The following is an 18,753-nucleotide window of genomic DNA, read 5'->3' as shown; positions in this document are numbered from 1 at the left end:
CTTATGTCTCTCTCCTGGTTATCTACTGCTTCTCAATAATGTTTGCCATCAATAAATTAATCTCAACATTTTTTAGATCCTACTTTAAAGGAGACTCTTTTCTCTACGTAAGTTATGTTTCCTGTTGTCTCTTTTTAAAACTTATTTTTCTAACAATTATCCAGGGTTTTGTGGCTTAAAAGAAAAACATTTATTTTGTTCATGAACCTGTGGTTTGAAAAAAGCTTAGCCAGGACAGGTCATCTCTGCTCCCCTCAGCTTCCCTAGGAACAGCTGATCAGCTGGGGAAATGGAATCATCTGAAGCTTTGCTCACCCATATGTTTGATGGTTGATGCTGGCCATTGGCTGGAACCTTGGTTGGAGCAGGCAGCGTGAACATTGACACTGATACTCCCAGGCTGTCTCTGTGGCCTGATCTCTCTCACAATCTGGGGGCTGAGTTCAAAGGGAAAGCAGTCTGAGATAGGGAAGCCACGTGATATCCCTTTTACTGCATTCTATTCATTAGAAGGAAGTCTGTAAGGATTGCCCATATTCTGTTTTTTTAATGGGATAAATATAGCTTCTCTTTTGTTTTAATTGACGTGTATACATAACTTTGGCCAATAGAGTGATATTTTGATACATGTATGTAATGTGTAATGATCAAGCTAGCTAGTACATTTACTACTTCAACCATTTTTCATTTTTTGAATTGTGAACATTCAAAATCTTCTGGCTTTTTAAAAATATACAATAAATCATAGTTAACCATATTCACCCTACAATGCCACAGAACACCAGAACTCATTCCTCTTATCTAACTGTAATTCTGTATCCCTTAACCATCCTCCCCTCCCCTACCTCTGTGAGCTTTTTTGTTGTTGTTAAGAGACAGGGCCTTGCTAGTCTAGTCTGGGCTCTGGGCAACTGTAGTCACCCAGACTAGAGACAGTGGCTTGATCATAGCTCACTGCAGCCTCAAACTCTTGGGCTCATGTGATCCTCCCACCTCAGCCTCCTGAGCAGCTAGGATTATGGGCATGCACCATTGCATCTGTCTGATTTTTGACTTTGTAGAGCTATCTACCTATGTTGTCCAGGGTGCTCTGGAACTTTGTCCTCAAGTGATTCTCCTGCCTTGGTCTTTCAAAGTGCTAGGAAATTACAGGCAATAGCCATGTTGCCCAGCCCTCAGTTTTTCTTTAGCTCCCACACATGAGTGAGACTGTGCAGTGTTTATCTTTCTGTGTCTGCACTTAACATAACATCCCTCAGACTGATCCACATGGCCACAAATAACGGGATTGAATTCCTTTATATGGTGAATAGTATTCCATTGTGTTTGTGTGCCACAGTTTTTTGTCCATTCATTTGGTGATGGACATGCAGGTTGATTCCATACATCAGCTATTGTGAATAGTGCTACAATATACATACAAGTACAAGTATCTTTTTGATCTATTGTTTTCTTTTCTATTGCCTGAATACCCAATAGTGGGTTTGCGGGATCCCTTGGCAGTCCCATTATTAGTTTTTTGAGAAACCCTCATGTTGTTTTCTATAGTGGCTGCACTAATTTACCTTCCCACCAACAGCATGTAAGAGTTTACTCTTCTCTGGAACCTCACCAGCATTTGTTATTTTTTTGTCTTTTCAATGATAGCAATTTATTCAAATTGAAGCAAGATTGTATCACATTGAAGATTTGATTTGTATTTCCCTGAGGATTAGTGATACTGAGCATTTTAAAATTTATTTATTGGCTATTTGTATTTATTTTTTCTAAAGAAAAAGTATAGTTAGATATTTTGCCCAATTTTGAACTCAGATGTTTTTTTACTGTCAAGTTTTTTGAGTTTCTTGTATATTTTGGATATTAGTCCCTTATTAGATGAATAGTTGACAATATTTTCTCCCATTCCACCGGTTTTCTCTTCACTCAGTTTGCTGGGCAGAAACTATCTTAATGTAATACCATTTGTCTATCATTTGGTTTTTGCCTATGCTTCTGATGTCTTACCCATAAAAATCTTTGTACAGCCTAATGTCCTCAAGCATTTTTCCTATATTTACTTAGAGTAGTTTCATAATTTTGGGCCTTACATTTCAGTCTTCAATCAATTCTGAGTTTATTTCATTATGTGCTGTTACATAGGAAGCTAGTATCATTCTTCTCCATATGGATATTTAGTTTTCTCAGTGCCATTCATTTGAAGAGACTGTCCTTTCCCCAGTGTATGTTCTTGGCACCTTTGTCCAAAATCAGTTGGCCGTAAATATGCGGATTTATTTCTGGGTGTGTATTCTATGGCCTTTACCCCAAGAATCATTACTTCTTAAAATGCAATTCAAATTAGCATGAAACATTTGCAGTTTAAGGAAAGGCTTATGGCATCAGAATCCTTATTTACAGGATTCATTATTTTGTGTTTTTTTGAGATATGGTCTTTGTCTGTCATCCAGGCAAAGTGCAGTGATGTGGTCATAATTCATTGCAGCCCTGAACTCTGGGTACAAGCCATCCTTTTGCCTCAGTCTCCCAACTAGCTGGGTCTACAGGCATGAGCCACCATGCCCAGCTAATTTAAAAAAAATTTTTGTAGACTTGGGGGTCTCACTATGTTGCTCTGGCTGATCTCAAATTCCTGGCCTCAAGTGATCTTTCTGGCACAGGCTTTTAAATTGCTACAATTACAGGCATGAGCCACCATGCCTAGTATAGAGTGTTATATTATTTTCAAAGTCTTATTCTGAGAGCCATTTATTGACTTTGGCCTAAATAACTCAATATGATATCTCTGCAACTTTTTTTGACATATTATGAGGAATGATAATGAGGGAAGGTGGTTAGACACTTTTTACTAAGAGATAACTTAAGTGCCATCTAAGGAGGAACAAAAATGAATTATCAGAAAAATAAAAGTAAGATGAAGTGCAAAAGTTCTGTGGCAAAGATGATGATAGTAAATAATATATTTCTGTGACTCATGGTAACTTTAACTTTGTTCTTAAAATTCTGAGTAATTTAAGGGTTCACATTTGAAGAATCCACTGCATTACAGATAACATTTTATTGCAAGTAAATGCATTTCAAAATTTGCTATTGGTTTTGTATTAGATTATTCTCAGCCTACTTCATTATCAAGCTGTATTATTTTATTCATGCAGTTTGATGATCTTACGGCAGAGAAGGAAGCTTTATCTTCAAAATGTGTCAATTTGGCTAAAGACAATCAAGTTCTTCAACAGGAGTTTTTATCTATGAAAAAAGTACAACAGGAATGAAAAACTTGAGGAGGATAAAAAGATGTTGAAAGAAGAAATATTAAATCTTAAGACACATATGGAAAACAATATGGTAGAACTTAGTAAACTACAAGAATATAAATCGGAGCTAGATGAAAAGGCAATGCAGGCAGTAGAAAAATTAGTAGAAATCCACTTACAGGTTAGTTTTTTAAATCAGGTAAGTTTATCTGTAATGTGCTTTCATTTATTTCACCGCAAATTTTATTTTGGATATGTATATATTATGTTTCCTCTGCCTTTCTTGCAGCAATTTGCTTTGTAGAGTTCTAGAAAAAAAAATGACATCTGTTTTTTCTTTTAAATATTTACATTTCCATTATTATTATAACAAAATCAATCTTTCAGAGTAACGACTCACTGTGGAGTCGTTTGATGATTAAGATCAGTTGGCATAAGAAAAAATTGTGATTTAGAAATTATGTGACACTTTTGAATTGGTCATAAGCTACGTTCATTAATCACTTTTTAAAATTATGAATGGATTCTATTACTTTTTATATGACCAGATTACATTAATACTAACATAATTATGATTTTGAATTTTTATAAATCAGACAATTCTGAATTCAGTTATTAGTTTTGATATTGCTGATAAATATTTTAAGCTTCAGCCTCTTTTACTAACATATTCAAAATCGCTCTTTGAATCACTGACTCAAAATGAAGGGCAACAAACATACAATAATTAGGTTATAATTGTTTTAAAAGTGTATTCTTTTCCTTTGTTTTAGGAACGAGCACAATATGAAAAACAATTAGAGCAGTTAAACAAGGATAATATGGCTTCACTAAGTAAGAAGGAACTCACACTTAAAGATGTGGAATGTAAATTCTCAGAAATGAAAACTGCTTATGAAGAGGTTACAACCGAATTAGAAGAATATAATAAGGAAGCCTTTGCAGCAGCATTGAAAGATAACAATTCCATGTCAAAAAAATTAATGAAGTAAGTCAAAACGTACACTCATAGAAAATGAATTCAGCTCATTAATTTGTTTTGAAAGCATAATTTTTAGTGAGATGGCTTCAGGAGATTAGTAGGAAGTGAATGCTAATCTAATAATGTAATTTCAGAAAATAATGTTAGTAAATAATCTTACCTTTAAAATGTTAGTCAAGGATAGTTTCTGTCCCATTTCTTTCTCTCTCTCTCTCCCTTTTTTTTTTTTTTTTGCTTTTGTATGGCTTTTTTCCCCTGAAAAGTCTCATGTAGTTAACCTGATCTGTTAGTTTTTGTCACTAAGTATTTTTGAAGCTTTATAATTAATAAAGTGATCTTGTTATAAAATTGCTTGTCAGAATTTCCCTAAATAGAAATATTAATGAGTTTAATTTATTTTTTGGTAGATCACAACCTAAACCCAAAGTGTCAAGTGATACTGCTACTCTGGGCACAATCTTTTTTGATTGTGATCTTTAGTATTACCACTAGAGGGTGCCTCAAGAAAGACTATTTGTGTAACATTTTCAAGATGTTACAGAAAGGCATCCTTGTGAAATAGGGAATAATTATTAAGGAATTTGAAGTGTAATTCAGAAAGTGGTTAAAAAATAACTAGAAATACCATTTGACCCAGCCATCCCATTACTGGGTATATACCCAAAGGATTATAAACCATGCTGCTATAAAGACACATGCACACGTATGTTTATTGCAGCAGTATTCACAATAGCAAAGACTTGGAACCAACCCAAATATCCAACAATGATAGACTGGATTAAGAAAATGTGGCACATATACACCATGGAATACTATGCAGCCATAACAAATAATGAGTTCATGTCCATTGTAGGGACATGGATGAAGCTGGAAACCATCATTCTCAGCAAACTATCGCAAGGACAAAAAACCAAACACCGCATGTTCTCACTCATACGTGGGAATTGAACAATAAGAACACATGGACACAGGAAGGGGGACATCACACACCGGGGCCTGTCATGGGGTGGGGGGAGGGGGGAGGGATAGCATTTGGAGATATACCTAATGTTAAATGATGAGTTACTGGGTACAGCACACCAACATGGCACATGTATACATATGTAACAAACCTGCACATTGTGCACATGTACCCTAAAAAAGTATAAAAAAACAAAAAACAAAAAACCTTGTTCAGCCTGAAAGGGTGTGTGGAAGGCAGAAGGAAAAACCCCACCTCTAGTGCCTTGGTCACAGTGCTGGGGGCTAATTGCCTTCAGACATGCTTTAGTTCTTTTTGATCATCAACCAACCAATCTAGTTCTCCCCCAGGAGTTGTTGTTCTGAATTATTCCTCAGAGCCAAATGGTTAATTGTTCCTAGATAATGGGTGAAATGCACAAGGGTGAAACCTAAAATTTGTTTGCTAAACACAAGTATTCCTAGATTTTTTTGTTGTAGTTCATTTTAGTTTTCTTAACCTACATTAAGGAGTACAACATGATGTTTTGATACAGGTATTTCTAGTGAAGTAGTTCTTATAATCAAGCAAATCAACATATTCTTTTCCCACATTGTTACCCTTTAAATACGAGTATTTCTAATGGAATCTTCAGAATCTCACAAGTAGAGCCCTTTTAGAAGGCAGCAAGTGTTACCTGTTGAGCCATACATCACTGATAGCCATTTCTCTTCCCTGTCTACTTTGTACTGCTTGTTCAGTATAAATTACCTTAGAAACACAGGTGCTTCTTTAGAATGATGTTAAAATTATAATTGCTTACCACAGTATGCTCTCACACATCTTCGGTGTGAAAACACTGTTGAGTGGATAATTTGGTTTGCTCTCAGGGCAAGTTTTTAAAAACTGCAAGTCATTAAGAATCATTAGAGGAAAAATGAAATACTAAGTGTTTGTCTTTGCTATCTTTACAGATCGAATAAGAAAATAGCAACGATCAGCATGGAGCTCCTTATGGAGAAAGAGCGGATGAAATATTTTCTCAGCACTCTTCCTACAAGGCGAGACCCAGAGTCACCTTGTGTTGAAAATCTTACTAGTATAGGACTCAACAGAAAATATATTCTCCAAACACCCATAAGAATTCCTATTTCAAGCCCACAGACTTCAAATAACTTCAAGAACTCCTTGACTGCGGTTAGTTACATGACCGTTTCTCTTTTGGGTTTCATTTCTCTAATATAATTCTTGTTTTTAATTTGGTGAAATACTGAGTTCTGTTGACTTATGCATGTTTAGTAAAGATCATAATTAGCTGTGTTAACACAGAAAGAAAATGGGAACTTTACGTTTTTTAATTCCCTGGAGCTCTCATTGTCAAGAGATACCCGTTTACTAACTTTATTCAATAAATGTGACTAAACTGACACATTTAAAATGTCTTTAAAAGCTGCATTTAAGTTAGGTTTTAGAAATTGCATATTATTGCCTGATAACTGATGATATGGTTTGAGATGCTTTGGCTTACTCTCTAATTGATTATAGTTTGTTTAGCTGTGGTTCATACTGCCCCCCCCCCCCACCTTTTTTTTTTTATTGAGACAGTGTTTCACTCTATTGCCCAGGCTGGAGTGTTATGGCACCATCTTGGCTCACTGCAACCTCCACCTCCCGGGTTCAAGCAATTTTCCTGCCTCAGCCTCCCAAGTAGCTGAGGCTACAGGCACCTGCCATTACACCCAGCTAATGTTTGTATTTTTAGTAGAGACAGGGTTTCACCATATTGGCCAGGCTGTTCTCAAACTCCTGACCTTGTGATCTGCCTGCCTCAACCTCCCAAAGTGCTGGGATAACAGGCATGAGCTACCGCATCCAGCCCATGTCACTTTTAAAGTTTCTTTGCACTGGCCAGGTGTGGTGGCTCATGTCTGTAATCCCAGCACTTTGGGAGGCCGAGGCAGGTGTGTCACAAGGTCAGGAGTTCAAGACCAGCCTGGCCAAGATAGTGAAAGTACAAAAAATAAAAATTAGCCAGGTGTGGTGGAGAGCACCTGTAATCCCAGCTACTAGGGAGGCTGAGGCAGAGAATTGCTTGAACCCAGGAGGCAGAGGTTGCAGTGAGCCGAGATTGTGCCACTGCACTCCAGCCTGAGTGACAGGGTGAGACTTCATCTTGAATATAAAACATTTTTAAAAAAGTTTATTTGCACTGTCTCAACTCTTCCCACCCATAATCACAACTGAATGATTGGCATCCAAACAGTTTACCACATATAGATGTTTATTATTTAGTAGAATCCAAAATAATTGCATTTTATGAATTAAACAAAACACTAAAATGTTCATTTCCATTTTTATGTTACAAGCTTTGTGCTTGGCCAGGTGCCGTGGCTCACACTTATAATCCCAACATTTTGGGAGGCCGAGGCAGCTGGATCATCTGAGGTCAGGAGTTTGAGACCAGCCTGGCCAACATGATGAAACCCATCTCTACTAAAAATACAAAAATTAGCACGGCATGTTGGCAGGCATGTGTAATCTCAGATACTCGGAAGGTTGAGGCAGGAGAATCACTTGAACCTGGGAGACAGAGGTTGCAGTGAACCAAGATCATACCACTGCACTATAGCCTAGGTGATGGAGACTCTGTCTCAAAAAAAAAAAAAAAAAGGTTTGTGCTTTTCTTACATAAGAGTACATCCTCTGACTATAAAAATCCTAGAAGAAAACCTAGGAAATACTCTTCTGGACATCATACTTCTCAATTAATTTATGGCTAAGTCCTCAAAAGCAATTCCAAGAATAACAAAAATTGACAAGTGTGATCTAATTAAGCTAAAGAGATTCTGCACAGCATGAGAAACTATCACAGGATTAAACAGACAGCGTAAAGAATGGAAGAAAATATTCACAAACTATGGATACAGCAAACGCCTATTATCCAGAATCCATAAGAGACCTAAACAAGTCAACAAGCAAAAAATAAATAACACCATTAAAAATGGGCAAGGAACATGAACAGACACTTCTCAAAATAACACATGTAAGTGGCCAACAAACATATTAACAAATGCTTACCATTGTTAGTCATCAGAAAAGTGCCAAACAAAACATCAATGAGATACCATTTCACACCAATCAGAATAACTTTTGTTAAAAAGTAAAAAGAAAACAAAAAAGATGTTGGGGAAGCAGTGGAGAAAAGGGAACACACACCGTTTTTGGCAATGTAAATTAGTTCAGCTACTATGGAGAGCAGTTTGGAAATTAAGAACTAACAATGACCGTTGGATGCAGCAATCCCATTACTATACTAGGGGTATATCTAGAAGACAATAAATCATTGTAATAAAAAGATGCATGCACATGTGTGTTCATTGCAGCACTATTCAAAACAGCAAAGACATGGAGTCAATCCAGGTGCATCCAAGGCAGATTGAAAATCCAAGGTAGATTGGAAAGTTCCATATATACCATGGAATACTATGCAGCCAAGAAAAGAACAAAATCATGTCCTTTGCAGCAACATGGATACAGCTGGAATCCACTATCCTAAGCAAACTAACACAGAAACAGAAACCAAATATCTCATGTTTTCACTTATGTGGGAGCTACACATTGGGTGCACATTGTCATAAACATGGGAACTATAGACACTGGGAAATAAGAACAGGGAGGGACAGAGTGGGCCAGGGTTGGAAAACTACTTATTGGATCCTATGCTTACTACCTGTGTGATGGGTTCCACTGTACTCCAAACCTCGGCCTCCCTCAGTATACTCTTGGAAGAAGCCTACACAGGTACCATCTTAATTTAGAATACAAACTAGAAAAAAAGAAACAAACAAAAAAAAAACCAAGAAAAATTTACTATTAAAAAGTTTACTATGAGTAGAGAATAGAAATTTCTTTTTAAGATAAAATTTATTGATGTAAAAAAATGGATTAAACTTGTATAAAGGGCAGAGTTTTGCTAAGAATTTCAAAGCAATGCATTCATTGCAAAAGATGACTTTAATTATTTAATTTTTTTTTTTTTTTTTTTTTTTTTGAGACAAGGTCTCACTCTGTCACCAGGCTGGAGTGCAGTGGTGCAATCTTGGCTCACTGCAACCTCCACCTCCTGGCTTCAAGCAATTCTCCTGCCTTAGCCTCCCGAGTAGCTGGGGCTACAAGTGTGCACCACCATGCCCAGCTAATTTTTGTCTTTTTAATAGAGACAGGGTTTCCCCATGTTGGCCAGGATAGTTTCAATCTCCTGACCTCATGATCTGCCTGCCTTGGCCTCCCCAAGTGCTGGGATTACAGGCATGAGCCACCACGCCTGGCCATTGTTTAACTTTTGTACTAATAACACTACCTTTCTAAAATCATGTATATGCAATAGACCAATATTAACTGTATTTTTGTCCGATTACTCTAAACAGCATTACACAGATGCATCCTCTGTTATCTAAACTTAAAATAAGTAGAAATTTTACTTTATTTATGTGATTATTTTTCTATTTAAGCAAACTTCAAGTTATGTCTAGTTGCTAAAAATACTAAAGGCCACATTTTGTAAGTGATACATTATTTGCATGATAATGTTTCTTGTTTAACTTAAACATTATTATTATTTTTACTTATTTTAGATGGAGCCGGACTATGTAGAACAGATAACTAGAGAAACAAAGAGAAGTATGTTGCCAAAATTTATTAATTACATTTAGGTTTATTTTAGAAATAAAGTGTAAATAACAAATGGCATTCCTTTTCATTGTTTGGTTAGTAGATACTATGTCAAGTATTTTTTATCTTACACACATCTAATGCGAGATGTGAAAACAAAATCTTTCACAGAGAAGACTGTACTTATGCACCATAAATTCATCATGTTCCATAGCTTAAAAAATTCCCAAGAAGTCTATGCATCCATTTTTTACTGGCTCTACACTTTCTTAAGTTTTGCCATTCTCATGGAAGTGTCAGCCAGCACACTGAAACGATTCTCAGAAAACAAAGCCATCACCAAGTTCTCAGGGTTTTGGTAGAGATTGAAGGCCAACAGACCTGAGACTCATTTTGAAATCCTTAGCTGGGCAATAACCCTTCATAAGCAGTCACTTGACAGGTGACATTTTAAATCTCCTGTCATTTACTGTGTCATTGGCTTACATCTGTTCTCAGGAAAAGTTCCAAATTTTTCACCATGAAGTAAAAACACCCACATCAATGTGATGCTTGTCAAGTTACTCAGCCTTGCTTCTTGACACTTACCGCACTCTGCCCTTTGCTCTAGCACCAAAGTGGACAGAGTAGAACTCCGCAGGGCTCTTCCTCACCTCAGGCTCTTTGCCTTCGCCTCTTCCCTCTATCTGGCAAGCTTTTCCTTGTCCTTCAGGTATCAACCTATGTTATCTCCTCCACCAGAAAGCCCATGATATTGACATAAAAGTGGGATAGATGTCCCTTTTGTGTGTTCCAGTAGTGCCCTGCCGTATACCTGTCATAGTATCTATGACACTATGTGGACCTTGCCTGCCTGTCTGTTTTTTTAGGTTATAGCATATGACTGTTGAGAGGTGGCCCATACCATCTTCATCTTGGAATTCCAGTGCTGGTTCTAGGACCTTAGCACGTGGCTGTTGATTACATGAATGAAGAATGAAAAACCTCTGATATTTAAACACAATAGAATTAATGTCATGTGTAAATTATTTAATAGTAATTTTGTATTGTAAATGTACATACATATTTCTCATTCTTACTAACTCTGATAAAGTTCTCAACTCTTTAGTATTTAAACTCACATTTAGTTAACTGAAGTGTTTTAGGTAAAGAACATAATTCTTTCTTTTTTTTTCCAGCTGTTGCTGTGTTGGACACTTGCTCCCATCTACTTACTTCTCTATAATCCACTGGTAAGCCACATCTAATGAAGAGAATGTTTAACCATAAAGTCTTATGGAAAAATTTTATTATTTAAAAGATTATAAAACTTTATTACTGGGCTATTTACACAACATTTTAATTGTTTCTCATAAAATATATAACATTACAATCTTTACTGAAGTAGGATGTTTTTGTATCACATGTATGATGATAATTTATAGGGTAATTTAAATGATGTTTTTTAGCCTCCTTAATTTTAAGTGGATCTTGCAAATGAACACCAGTATTATTGAGTTTGACGTACTCAAATTGCCCAAATGTCAGCTGTTTAAACAGCCAAACAACCAAGTCATCATTGATACTTTAGTAAAGGTCATCGAAGGCTTCTTTGCATTTTACAGCTTTTACTGCTTAGGGGAGTTAAGGAGTACCTGCCAGGCTTGTCCATGCTAATGTGACAATTTTCTTTTTGTAGTTGAACCGTATTTTGTGGGGAGATATTTTGAGGCTCTGTAAATATCTAGTTACTCCTCAGAACCCACTAGATTTAGCATTTCATGGATGACTTGTGTTTGAACAGTTATTACTATGATGGTTGCCAGATGATTATTTTCTTCTCTTCTTTGCTGTACATGGAGAAGTAAAACCAATAAATAACTGAGAAGGGAAAGCTCATGATTCTGGTGCTCCCATTCCCCAAGATTAGGCCAGTGGTAGACATTTCAAGCTGACTTCATGTCTTTTTTATTTGTCCTTATTACTCTGTCAGCACTTTTTTAGTTTCTGGAACAAGATGTTCTAAGCTCATCTTGTATTTTCTCTGCTCCAGCCATGGAATGAGTGATTTTTCTTAGAAGCAGAGGTGGAGCCACTGAGGAAGCACAGGCCAGCCCTCCCCAGCACATACTCACTGGTCCCCAACAGAAGAACCGCTGCCGCCTCCATGAGGTACCAAGAAACTAGCAAAGGGCCTTCTGGCTGTCTGGGCACAGTCCTCATGTGGTCCCTGGCTCAGCCTCAAGGGTTCTGCATTAGTCTTCCTGTAGCCTCTGTGCTGTGTCTGTAGATCGGGTCTCTGTGGGAAGGGCCCTGGGAGGCCCAACAGCACAAGATGTCTCATCTGCCAAATGTCCCTGCCTTCCTCCCACTCTGACACTCAGGAATAGGCTACATGGCATGTCCAGGCAGTGCCAGGCCACCTCACTATCTCCTTTAAGATTGGCCCAGAGGGCTTTTGGGGTGAGTGTGGAGCTGGGCACCTGGAGCCTGAGGCCAACTGTCTCTCCCTCTGTCTTGGAGGAAAAGCCATGTCCCAAAAAAAACCCCAGGGCCTGACCTCTGGGCACACATACAGGGAGGGATGGTCTGTGGGCTGAGGGGGGCATTGTAATGAGACTTTGAGCACGCTGCTCAGGGGCCTGGTCAGTGGACCATGGTCAGGGGGCCTGGTCATCAGGACCTAGTCAGTTGGGACCTGGTTAGTTGTGGCCTCCTCAGTAAAGGCCTCATCAGTGGGGACCTGGTGACCTAGTCATTGGAAGCCTGGTCCATGGGGACCTGGTCAGTGGTGGTCTTCTTAGTGAGGCCTGATGGGTTGGAACATAAACAATGAAAAACTGGTTGGTGGGGCCTATACAGTATACTAGGTGCCTGGTCAGTGTTGGGCCTTAGTGGCTTGGAGCCTGGTCAGTGAGGGCCTGGTCAGAGGGGGCTCGGTCAGCTGGGGACTGATCCATGGAAAATTGTTCAGTGGGGGTCAGGTGAGCAGCAACCTGGTAAATTGCGGTCTTGTCAGTGGGAACCTGGTCAGTGGGGACCAGGTCAGTGGGAAATTGGTCAATGAGGTCTGGCCTATGAGGCCTATTAAGTGTGAGCCTGGTTAGGAAGACATAGTCAGTGGGGACTTGGTCAGTGGGAACTGGTAAATGGAGGAGTGGTCATTAGAGGCCTCATCAGTGGGAACCTGGTCCTGGGCGGCTGATCAGTAGGAACCTGGCCAGCTGGCCACTGTGTGGCCTCAGGCAGGGGGTTTGTCTGTGGAGTCTCCTTGCCTCCATCTGCAGAGAAGGTGAGTCAGGGCACCTTGGAGGGTGGCTGGAAAGAGAAGGTGAGAAGATGTGTCGAATCCAGCACTGCTTGGCCGACCTACAACTTTACACATGACCTGTGTTTCACCTAGAGGTGGTGCCAGCCCTCTCTGCTGTGCCTGGTGCCCCTCCTCTGTCTGCATCCCCAGGACCACCATGGGTGGGGAAGGCAGAGATTGGGGAACACCTATAGAAGCTCTAATGCTGGCCATGAGCCCTCAGTGATGACCTGGGTGCACCCGTGAGTGGAGAAGCTAGGCCTGGCCAGAGAAGCAGGAGAAACACACACATAAGTGCACACATATACAGGCACACACACATGCACAAACACACTGCATCCACACATGTCAGTTCAGGGGATAGAGGACATTGACTCTGGGCCCTGTTGACCCATGCAGGCTCCCATTGTGGTGGGTTGTGTCACCCCACAATGTCACTGTTGCTAAGCCCCCATCGCCTCTGTGTTGTGGAGCAGTTAGAGACACACAGCCGTGTCTGTGAGTGGCTCTGCGTGAAGGACCATTTTCTAGGTGAGAGGCACATCTCAACACAGCTGACTGATCAGACTCAGGTGAGTGGGACCTGCTCTCTTCTTTTTCTCCTGGCTTGGGGACAGTCGCTATCAGGTGGGTGGTTTTGGCCTCTGGGCAGCTGCTGAGGGTAATCCCTGAACACTCACTGGGTGCCTATTCTGTGCTGACAGTCATCTCATTCATCCTCGCAGCAATTCCATTCTGCATCTTTTCTGATCACCCCCGTGATGACCCAGGACAACCCCATCAGGCCCTCTCACCCAGGCCCAGTCCAGCTCCATGATAACCAAGAAGCAGGTCCAGAGACAACCACCCTTCATGGTGCCTGCATCTGACCCCCCTTGGTGGGAGTGACCAGCACAACATGGAAGAAGCCAGGGCAGCATGCGGCCAGCTGCCCTGCAGCCCCAGATGGCTCCTAGGCCTTGGGAAGTCATTCTCAAAGGGGAAGCTGGTCATTTTGAGGTCCCTGGAGGGAAGGGTGAATGTGTCATCCCAACATCCCTGGAAGCCAGAAGCATGCCATACATCTTAGCCAACCTGTGTGACAGAGGCCCCCTCCTGGGGCACAAGTCCCATACCTAAAGGGTCCTGTCCCAGTTGAACCTCATCCTGAGTCCTGGGAGGGGAGGAGCACCATGGGCCTCCCTGCAGCAGCCAGGATTACCACCCAGGGGACTCAGCCTTCTGTGGCCCTGGCCAGACTTAGAATTTGGCCCAAGACAAGACAAGCTCACTCGGAGCAGCTTGTCAGTACCCGGGGCCTGTGCATGCCAGGTAAGTCCAAGCTGACTTAAAGAGCAACTGGCCACCTCTGCAAGGGTGTGCCAAGAGCAGGTGGACCAGCCACCAACCTCACCCACTCAAGGAAACAGGGATGGCCAGGTTCCCACAGCCTGAGTGACCACCACCTGACAGCTGATGGAGTAGAGGCCTGAGGAAAAGCAGATGGCACTGGGGCCCTACCTCTAGGGCAGAATAACTGATTTACCCTGACTGGCAGCAAGTGAGGTTGGTGGCTGGTCCACCTGCTCCTGGCACACCCTTGCAGAGGTGGCTGGTTGCTCTTTGAGCCAGCTTGGCCTTGCCTGGCATGCACAGGCCTCAGTGCAACAACTGTGCTGCAAATGGAGCCACATATAGGAAATGAGCAGCAGGTTCAGGAGCAGGGTGTGCGCTGCCTTTGGGGCTCCAGTCCATGCATCAGGGCTCCTACAGCACTGTGGGCTTCTTGGGTGCCAAGAGGCAGACCACAGGCCCTCTTGAGGAGGCTTCTATGTTCAAGTGCAGAAAGGGCCTAATCTGGTGGATGAACCACTAGACCAGCTTCTAGTGCCACATCTTTTGTCACTTCCTGATGTGCCCCACCAGCACTGAAGAGACAGCCTGGAGGCAGGGCAAGAGGAAGGCTGAGAAGGATGAGACGGTGAGTGCCAGATTCTCCCTGGCCCTGAGCCCACCCCCAGGGTGACACTCAAACTTTAGGAGTGGGAGAGCAAGGTTGACGGCTTCAAGTGCTTCACTAAGAAGATGGACAACAGGGCACTCACCTCAACTTCACAGCCAATGAGTTGACATGCAAGCAGGTGATGGTGACAGGCTTTAAGAAAGAGCATCAGAAAGCTGCCAGTTCTTCAGCCTCAGCCAGGCCTTGGAGCTGGACCAGGCCATCCACTTCACCACAGATGCCTTCAACACTGTCAGTGAGCTCTTTGCCAATCAGCCCAGGCAGGACCTGGACCCAGTCATGGACCTGTTAGTGCTGTCTCAGGGACACCAGACCAACATCCTGAACATCATCCACATACACAAGGAAGTTCTTACCAAAGTCACGGAGGGCAGGCAACATGTGGCAGAAGGGAAGACAGCGATGCAGAGGCTGATGACGTCAGAATCACAGGAACAGGAATTCTTTCACCACTTCAGTGGAAATTAACCACTTCCATCCAGTTTGAATGAGAGACATGAAATCACAGATGCAGCATTTCTTGCAACAAGAGATACAAATTTTTCAAAAAGTCATCCAGTAATCGATAGCGTTGAATGACTAGATATTTGATTGTGGACTGTTTCCAGTTCAAGGATACCTTCTACACAGAATAATAACACTAGCAAAGAGCTAGTGCCAGCTATCCGTGGTAGCACAAGTATGGTTTTGTGCTCAACTGAAATCCAGCTGAATACAGAATTGTGTAGGACACAGTTAATATGGTGATAGAATAGAAACAGTAGCAAACATGAACTAAATCATGCCATGAATGCCTAAACTACCATTGTAAATTTTGGAAGAATGATCATACCACTTTACTGCTTTTTGAAGTATGAATATTTTAGTGTATATGCTATAGACCACAAACCCTGTAAAGAGTCTCAAATAAGTTGGCTGGATAAAGCCTGCTGTGCATGTCTTTATACTCAAAGACTGATGATGCAATTCGAATATGTGTCCCCACCAAATCTCATATTTAATTATATTTCCTAATGTGGAAGGTGGATCCTGGTATAAGGCGATTGATTTATGAAGGCAAATTTCTCATGAATGGTTCGGCACCATCCCCTTGTACCATCCTCACAATCATGAGTGACTTCTCATGAGATCTGACCACTGAAAACTCTACGTCACCTCCCTACTCTGCGTGTTTTCCTCTTGCCATGTGAGACAACTCACTCTTTCTTTGCCTTGTACAAAGATTGAAAGATTTCTGAGGCCTCCCAGAATCAGAAGCCCTGTGCTTCCTGTCAACCCTGCAGAACCATGAGCCAATTAAACCTCTTTTTCAAAATGAATCAAACAGAAAATGGCAAATGACGATTGCAGCATTGCTATAAAGATACCTGAAAATGTGGAAGCAGCTTTGTAACTAGGTAATGGGCAGAGGTTGGAAGAGTTTGGAGGGCTCAAAAGAAGACAGATGAGAAAATTTTTGGACTATCTTAGAGACTGGTTAAATGGTTGTGATAAAAATCCTGGCAGAAACATGGACAGTGAAGGCCAGGTTGAGGAGGTCTCAGATAGAAATAAGAAGCTTTCTGGAAAATGTCTTCCTTTTGAATATGGAAAGCTTACACAATGCCTGTACCATCATTATACGTTAGAAGCTGTGAACTTGCTTTTTATTTCAGAGGCTCGTAAGAAAAAGAGACTGTAGCCTTGACTCAGATGAGACTTTGGACTTTGTAAGTTTGAGTTAATGCTGAAATGAGTTAAGACTCACTCTGGCAAGGCATGATTGTATTTTGCAATGTGAGAAGGACATGCCGTTCATGGGGTCAGGGACAGAATAATATGGTTTGTCTCTGTGTCCCTATCAAAACCCATGTGGAATTATACTCCCTAATGTTAGAGGTGGGGCCTAGGTGGAAAAAGATTTAGTTATAAAAGGGTATGGGTAGATTCTTCACGAATGATAAAGGACCATCACCTTGATGCTGTCCTCCTGATAGTGAGTGAGTTCTCATGAGATCTGGTTGTTCAAAAGGCTGTGGAACCTCTTTCCTCACTCTGTCTTCCTCCTACTCCTGCCTTAGGAGATATCTCATTGTCTTGGCTTCTCGTATAATTAGGAGGCTTCTTGATTCCTTCCAGAAACAGAAGACACTATGCTTCCTTCACAGCTTGCAGAACCGTGATTCAATTAAACCCCTTTCATTTACAATAATACAGAAAATTAGAACTGCAGAGAGAGCTGTGAAATATCTTCAAGGCCTTTTTCCCTTTGTCTTGGCTATTAGCACAGGGCTTCTTTATATGCCAATTTCTGAAGTCTTCTTGAATTTTTCCCCTTAAATGGGGTTTTGTGTTATTGCTACATAGCCAACCTGCTATAGAGATACCTGAAAAAGTAGAAGCAGGCTCAGTAGTGGGTAGCAAACAAAGATTGGGAGGGTTTGGAGGGATTAGAGCATGACAGAAAGATGAGGGAGTGGGAGGAAGTGATTTAATCATGGATGGGCAGGGGTGGGTGTGGACGGAAAAAGGGGTGGGTAGGGTGGGAATGAGTAGGCTGGCTGTAGGGTGGTGGGAGGGTGGTGGGTAGTAGGAAGGGGGAGTAGCCTGCTGCAGAGGCAGAGCCTCATGGAAAACCATTACTAGGGCAGTGCACCTGTGGCTTTGCAGGTTTGAGCCCCCATGGCTGCTCTCATGGACTGGACCAGTGTTGAGTGCCTGTAGCTTTTCCACACTGAGGGTGCAAGCTGTTGGTGGGTCTCTGAATCTGGGATCTGGAGGGTGGTAGCCCGCGATGTGGGGGCTCCAAGTCCGTATTTTCCTTCTGCAGTGCCCTAGTAGAGGTTTCCCAAGAACTCTGTGTCTGCAGCAGGCTGCTGCTTGGAAACAGTGGGAGGTGGGGGTGGGAGGCAGATCCTTCACCAATGGTTAAGCACCATCTTCTTGATGCTGACCTAGTGACAGTGCATTTTCATGAGATCTGGTTGCATAACAAGGTGTGGCACCTCTTTCCTCTCTCAGTCTTGCTTCTACTCCAGCCATATGAAACATCTCCTTGCCCCTTGGCCTTCTGGTATGGTTGTGAGGCTTCCTGAGACTTCCCAGAAGCAGAAGCTGCTATGCCTCCTTTACAGCCTGCTGAACCATGAGCCAGTTAAACCTCTTTTCTTTATGATCATAGAGAAAATTAGTGCTATGAAGTGGAGCTATGAAGTGCCTTCAAGGGCCTTTCCCCTTTTCTTGGCAACCAGCACTCAGCTCCTTTTCATGCAAATAACTGAAGCCTTCATGAATTTTCTCCCTGAAAGTGGACTTTTCTTCTTTTACCACACTGCCAGGTTGTGATAAAGATAGCTGACAGTGTAGAAGCAGGTTCAGAAGTGGGTAAAAGACAGAGGTCAGGAGAATTGGGAAAGCTTGGAAGACAGCAAGATGAGGAAAATTTGACCACTGTAGAGGATTGTTAAATACTTGCGATCAGAAGGCTGACAGAAGGATAAACACTGAAGTCCAGACTTAAAAGGTCTCAGATGAAAATTAGGAATTTCCTGTGAACAGGAGCCAAGGTTACATTTGATTGGCCTTAGCAAAGAACGTGGCTGCACGGTGACCCTGCCCTGGAGATCTGTGAAACTATGA

The 18,753-nt window shown here is 41.5% G+C and overlaps 2 pseudogenes across 1 annotated transcript in view; both read left to right on the top strand.

Annotated features, from left to right (window-relative positions):
- Window positions 1–18,753, top strand: part of ANKRD20A8P (ankyrin repeat domain 20 family member A8, pseudogene) — a 96,148-nt pseudogene that overhangs the window by 54,910 nt on the left and 22,485 nt on the right. Inside the window, exons 17-22 of the transcript NR_003366.2 lie at window positions 3,153–3,432; window positions 4,025–4,239; window positions 6,148–6,370; window positions 9,808–9,853; window positions 11,023–11,076; window positions 11,916–11,995. The product of NR_003366.2 is annotated as an ankyrin repeat domain 20 family member A8, pseudogene (transcript). The remainder of the gene's footprint in view (window positions 1–3,152; window positions 3,433–4,024; window positions 4,240–6,147; window positions 6,371–9,807; window positions 9,854–11,022; window positions 11,077–11,915; window positions 11,996–18,753) is intronic.
- Window positions 14,222–15,694, top strand: SNX18P14 (sorting nexin 18 pseudogene 14; annotated as a pseudogene).

This window comes from Homo sapiens, chromosome 2 (genome assembly GCF_000001405.40).
Source record: "Homo sapiens chromosome 2, GRCh38.p14 Primary Assembly".
Taxonomy (NCBI): Eukaryota; Metazoa; Chordata; class Mammalia; order Primates; family Hominidae; genus Homo; species Homo sapiens.
The sequence above is the reverse complement of the archived record's forward strand: the minus strand, read 5'-3'. Positions and strand labels throughout refer to the sequence as shown.